Source organism: Homo sapiens, chromosome 1 (genome assembly GCF_000001405.40).
Source record: "Homo sapiens chromosome 1, GRCh38.p14 Primary Assembly".
NCBI classification, from domain to species: domain Eukaryota; kingdom Metazoa; phylum Chordata; class Mammalia; order Primates; family Hominidae; genus Homo; species Homo sapiens.
This window is the reverse complement of record NC_000001.11, coordinates 195,158,764-195,164,855: the sequence shown is the minus strand read 5'-3', so window position 1 is coordinate 195,164,855 and position 6,092 is coordinate 195,158,764. Positions and strand designations below refer to the sequence as shown.

At 32.9% G+C, this 6,092-nt stretch overlaps 1 annotated feature.

Moving 5' to 3' along the window:
- Nucleotides 3,910–4,110: a silencer, noted in NCBI's record as "peak625 fragment used in MPRA reporter construct". NCBI's record gives its function as "represses an SCP1 promoter by STARR-seq MPRAs in K562 erythroleukemia cells {active_cell/tissue: K562}" and the evidence as "EXISTENCE:reporter gene assay evidence [ECO:0000049][PMID:32103011]".

Here is a 6,092-nt window from a genome sequence, read left to right as displayed (position 1 = left end):
TTAATTCTAAATCCAAAGTAAATCTTGCCCTCTTTAATCTGAATTAGTGATGGCAAACTTTGTTCTGTAAAGGCCTTAAAAGTAAATAATTTAGGCTTTGGAAGCCACATAGTCCCTTCAGTAACTACTCAGCTCTGCCACTGTAGTGCAATAGCATCCATAGATGATATGAAAATAAATGAGTGTGGCAGTATTCCAGTATAATTTTATTAAAAAAAATAAGACTAGAGCAGAATGGAATAGGATTGTAGCTTGAATCATTATTTCCATAGATAATTCAGTACAAAGAGATAAAATGTATTTTTAATTTGACCAGATGTTTTATTTTCTTTCCTATCTCTCTCTCTAAATATTTTTCACAATCTTTGTTTCTTCCCCACTTCTGACACTTGCCACTCTGGACTAATTCATAAGTCATGCCTTTAATAAGACTTAATCGGTTGTAGGATAGTAAAACAAATAACTAAATGAACAAAACCACATGAACAGTGATATATCTCTCATGCATTATTAAAGAGATAACAAAATTTTTTTTCAGCTTTTCTATAAAAACAAGGCTTTCACTTATGTCCTTGGACGATTTCAATTTTATTTAGACACACTAAAGGAACAAAGCACAACAATAACAAATCTTAATCAAAATTTCTGTAAATGTACTTTTAATTCATTGTCAGGTAACCTCTGTTTTTACTGTTTCAATTTACAGTCCTACATAGTGAAGTCTGTTGATGACAAGTATCTTAACCTTTTTCTAAGTCTCAATATCATTTTATATAATTGTTTACATACATTTCTTAAATGTTATTTATGAGAAATAAATTAAACTGTATCTATAAATTACTTAGTGTAGCATGGAGCACACATTAATTAATTTTTGGTAATTGAAAATAAATGTTTTTGGACATTAAATGTAAAGTGATTGTAAAGTCATTTTTATATGATTATAGATAGTCATACTCAATTTTTAAAACAATTGACTTCTTGTGCAAATAACTTTAGTGCAAATAAATTTAGTACTTATTAAGTTTAGTACTTGTTAAATGGATGAATGTGTACCAATAGATAGGTGGCTTTATATTAAGTATCATTTTTGACATATGTGTAAGACTAGTCAAAATACATAGCTCAATAACACAGTTGAGGGCTAACAAAATTAAGGATTACGAGGAAACCCGGGAGCAGTTATTAAGGCAAAAGCTGGAACTTGACGATTAGAAAGTGAATACACACTACAACAAAATGAGAACATCTATCGTACATAAAGTTAACTGTAAAAGCTTCATTGTCTTAGTCTGTTTTCTGTTGCTATAACAGAATACCTGAGACTGTGTAATTTATGAGGAAAATAAGTCTATTTGGCTCACAATTACAGAGACTAGAAAGTCCAATATCGGGTTCTCTATCTGTGGAGGGCCTCTTACTGCTCTGACTTACAGAGTGGAAGGGTAGGGGGTTTATGCAAAAACAAGAAAAAAGAAAAAAAAGAAGAGACCAAATACCTGCTCTTGAGATGTCTGCTGAGAGGTAAAACTCACTCACTCCCTTCAGAAACTGCATTAATGCCTTCATGAAGCCACATGTCTCATAACCCAAACGCCTCTTAAAGCTCCCACCACCTCTCAAGACTGTCACACTGACAATTAAATTTCAACTTAAGTTTTGGCAAGGACTAACAACATCCAGACCATAGTATTCCATGTGAATATGCTTGTTAACCATGAACCTAAGCTATCATGGTTTTTTTTAATTGAATATTTGTAGCATGTAAACATGAGGAAATCAGAGTATTTTTGTCCATGTCAATTTTTCTTACCTAACTCCAGTCAGAGATGCCAAAATCACTTTCATCAAGAAACTCTTAGTGATTAATCTTATTTATTTAGAAATTAACCATAAGCAGCCAGACGCGGTGTCTCAAGCCTGTAGTCCAAGCACTTTGGGAGGCCGAGGAGGGCAGATTGCCTGAGGTCAGGAGTTTGAGACCAGCCTGGCTAACATGGTGAAACCCTGTCTCTACTAAAAATACAAAAATTAGCCGGGCCTGGTGGTGGCACACACTTGTGGTCCCAGCTACTTGGGAGGCTGAGGCAGGAGAATCCCTTGAACCTGGGAGACAGAAGTTGCTGTGAGCCAAGATGGGGCCACTGCATTTCACCTGGGAGACAGAGCAAGACTCCGTCTCCACTCCCCGCCCTCCCCCCACTAAAAAAAAAAGAACTTAACCATAAGCAATTTAGGCCCTTTAAATTTATTGGGTCTTGTGATATTGGGTATATTCCTGACAACTTTTCAACATCTAAATATAAAAAGAAGCCAATGTACCTATTGTTTATTTAAACAATTTACATCAGTGAAATGTTATATACATTGCACATATGTTCTAGCTCTAAAATATGATACAAAACTAATAATAGAGACTAACAATATTAGACATATTTTTACATATTTTTCTTTCTTCATGTAATGATTTAAAAATTAGTTTAGAGAACCTAAATAAAATTAAATACTATTGTAGATAATACAACTTTTATAACCATGAAGCTTAAAACTGTTCAATAACTCATGAGTCACACAGAATATAATGCATTTGATTATATTTTTTAGAAACTCAGAATTTCATTATATTTTTTAGAATGGTACATTAAATTTAATATAACAAATATTTTATACACATCATGAATATTTATCTATGTAAGCTCAGCTGTTAAGGGCATGAGTATGTTGCTTATTTTTTTTCTGTTTATTAATTCTGTAAAGCATAGTGGAATTATTAAAATGCAACAGGAAAATGACATATATAAGTGAGAAGAAAATTTAATAACATTTGATCCAAACAATAGGTTGGAGCATATTACTTTCAATTGATAAACTGACAAATTAAGGACAATTTAACTAAGAATAAAGAACAGTAAGTTTAACATTTATATGTGTTCCAAAATTAAGTCAAGAAGAATGAGGGAAGTAAATCAAATATGCAGAAAAACTAGCACTTTTTTACGGAATGTGATATGGTCAATTAAAAGTTTGTATGAAAACTATAACCAAAAGTTTAGTTTTACCTGAAAACATTATAAAATATAAAGAAGGAAAGTCATTGGCGCAAAACAAAATAACACAATTTATAGAGATTTTAAGTGAATCACTGAAGTCTTTATTGACAAAAATAGTGAGGTATCAAATTAAAATGCCTTAAAATAAATAGATAAGATGGATATGAATACACTTATGGAAACATAATTAAAAAGCTTCTTTGAAAGAAATAGCTAACGTAAGCAGAACTATAAAGATTGTTAAGCAAACATTTTATAGTAAATACCTAATTTTTTTTTTTTTTTGAGACGGAGTCTTGCTCTGTCACCAGGCTGGAGTGCAGTGGTGCCATCTCAGCTCACTGTAACCTCTGCCTCCCCTGTTCAAGTGATTCTCCTGCCTCAGCCTCCCAAGTAGCTGAGACTACAAGTAAATACCTATTTTTTTAAATATTAATGAGAAAGTTATTATGCGGTACCTTATTGTTATATCTAATGACCAAGGAAGACATAATGTTTCCCTCAGCTTGACCACATTTAGACAAGCTTCTTTTTGTTTCTAAGCCCCTGACCTCTCTTTTCCTGGAGTATTTACACTGAAAACTTTTAAGTTCTTTCTTTCTTTGAAATGTAAATCTTTGAAAAGACTCTTGTTGGCTTTAAAACCCAAGTGTGTCTTCTTTAAGGATCTGGGGAACATGCCTTCCAAAGGTCATCACCAAGAAACAGAATGGACATATCTTAGTCTCTGTGGGAGGGAAGGCTCCACCTAAACTAAGTGGGTGCCTTGCTCCACGTTGTAAAATTACCTTCTGTAATGAAGACTTGAGAAAGTTTACTTTTCCTTTGAGTAAGGCCAGTTAGAAATGCAGAGGGTCTATTTTCCACCTCACTGCAAAGCTCTCCCACCCTTTGTTTAAATGCAGTTCCGTTCAGTTGTTGCAATAGTCTTGGATACAGTCCTTTTTCAAACCTGTTTCACTTTGCCCAGTGCACTTTTTACTTTGACAGTAGCATGTCTACTAAGTAAATGTAAATAAAGTTATCTTGCTAATTAGAATAAACAGGTGCTTTTCTTAATTATCTAAGTAGCAAAGCAAAATTGCTAGGCAGAATTATTACAATAATTACCAATTTTTTTTAACTTTATTTTGCCTATGAAGGTGAAATAGTTAAGTGCTTGTTCGTAACGTAAACTACAGAAATATTACGTGATAAAAAGGTCCAGTGAAAAGAACCAATTAATTTACTTCATCAATTGTATATCCACTATTTTTATCATTTGTCAATGTAAGTTGTGGCTAGGAGTTAATTATTTTCAACAACTTTTTTAGTAATAATAAAATAAACATTTAATGAGAAAACAATACATATATATATACACACACACACACACACACACATACAGTTGTTTCTCTGAGATTCCCTTTTACTGACTTATGGATTTCTTCTAAGTTACTTGAGCGCTATATTCCATGTTTTATAAGTTTATGTTAAGTAAAATAATATATGTAGATGTTGATTTTCAGAATTCATGTATTCCAAGATAATGACAATATTTCTTTGTATATGATGCTGTTACCAGAAAGGGATTTGGATCCAGACCCTAAGAGAGAGTTTTTGGATCTTACTTAAGAAAGAATTCAGGGCAAGTCCACAGTGCAAAGTGAAAGCAAGTTTATTAACAAAGTAAAGGAATTAAAGAATGGCTACTCTATAGACAAAGCAGCCCTGGGGGCCACTAGTTGCCCATTTTCATGGTTATTTATTGGGGTGGATTATTCACACTTCCCCCTTTTAGACCATATAGGGCTACTTCCTGATGTTGCCATGGCATTTGTAAACTGTCAAGGCGCTGGTAGGAGTGCAGCTGTGATGAAGTCCAGAGGTCACTCTCATCACCATCTTGGTTTGGGTGGGTTTTAGCCAGCTTCTTTACTGCAACCTGTTTTATCAGCAAGGTTTTTATGACCTGTATCTTATGCTGACCTCCTGTCTCATCCTGTGACTTAGAATGCCTAACCATCTGGAAATGCAGCCCTGTAGTTTTCAGCCTTATTTTACCAAGCTTCTACTCTAGATGGAATTGCTCTGCTTCAAAGGCCTCTGAGAATGCCATGACAAATTATAATTAGTTGAAATATAAAATATATGGAAGTACAAAACCATATTAGTTAATTACAGGGGCTGGCAGTGTCACAGGAATGTGCCATGGAATGAGAAACAAAATTATTAATTAGAAAACCCCAAGGAATACAAAAAAGGCATTTTAGAAAGCAAAAGGAAAAAGTAAATGAGATGAAAAAGTAAATCAAAGAGTAAAGAACAGGAAAGTTGAAGAAAATTGGAAGTTTCCATATATATCTTGAAAAAAAAAATAATGTGGGATAGGACTTGAAAACAATAGAGCAGAGATTAGTCGTTGCATCATACTTCTATCTTTTCCAGCAATTTACCTAGACACATAATTTAACTTCAGATAGAAAGTTAAGTTGCTATCATTGGAATAGTGAATCTTATTTCTATTATGTACGCATTATATTATTTTAAACAATTATCGTTGTAAGCCATATGCCCATTGCTATCAACTCTTGTTGATTGCAGTGGATGTGTTCAGTTTTAGAAAGTGAATAGAATGTAGTACTCAAAAGAACTGTATAAATAAGGAATGAAGTGAAATGGAACAAATGTATTTTTAATAACTGTGATAAAATAAATATTAATTTGAAAATCTCACTGTGCCATCTTTCTGTTCTGTCAAGGGACATTGCATTAAATATCTTATACAAAATAAACAGCAAGTTTTCATGGGAAGGTCAGCATATTACATTGTACAGCATATTACTGTATACTTCTGTAATTCTACTGTTATATTTCTGAGATTGCCTGACTTAAAACGGCTAATGTATTACATTAACGGAAATGAACTATCTTCTTTTATGTTAATCATTGCAAATATTAATTAATTAATAAAACCTGATTCCATAGCGGTAGTTTCACAGCAAAAGAAATAAAAAAAAAAATCAGTCCTTTGAAGATTTACATTGTCAGCTGCAATAATTT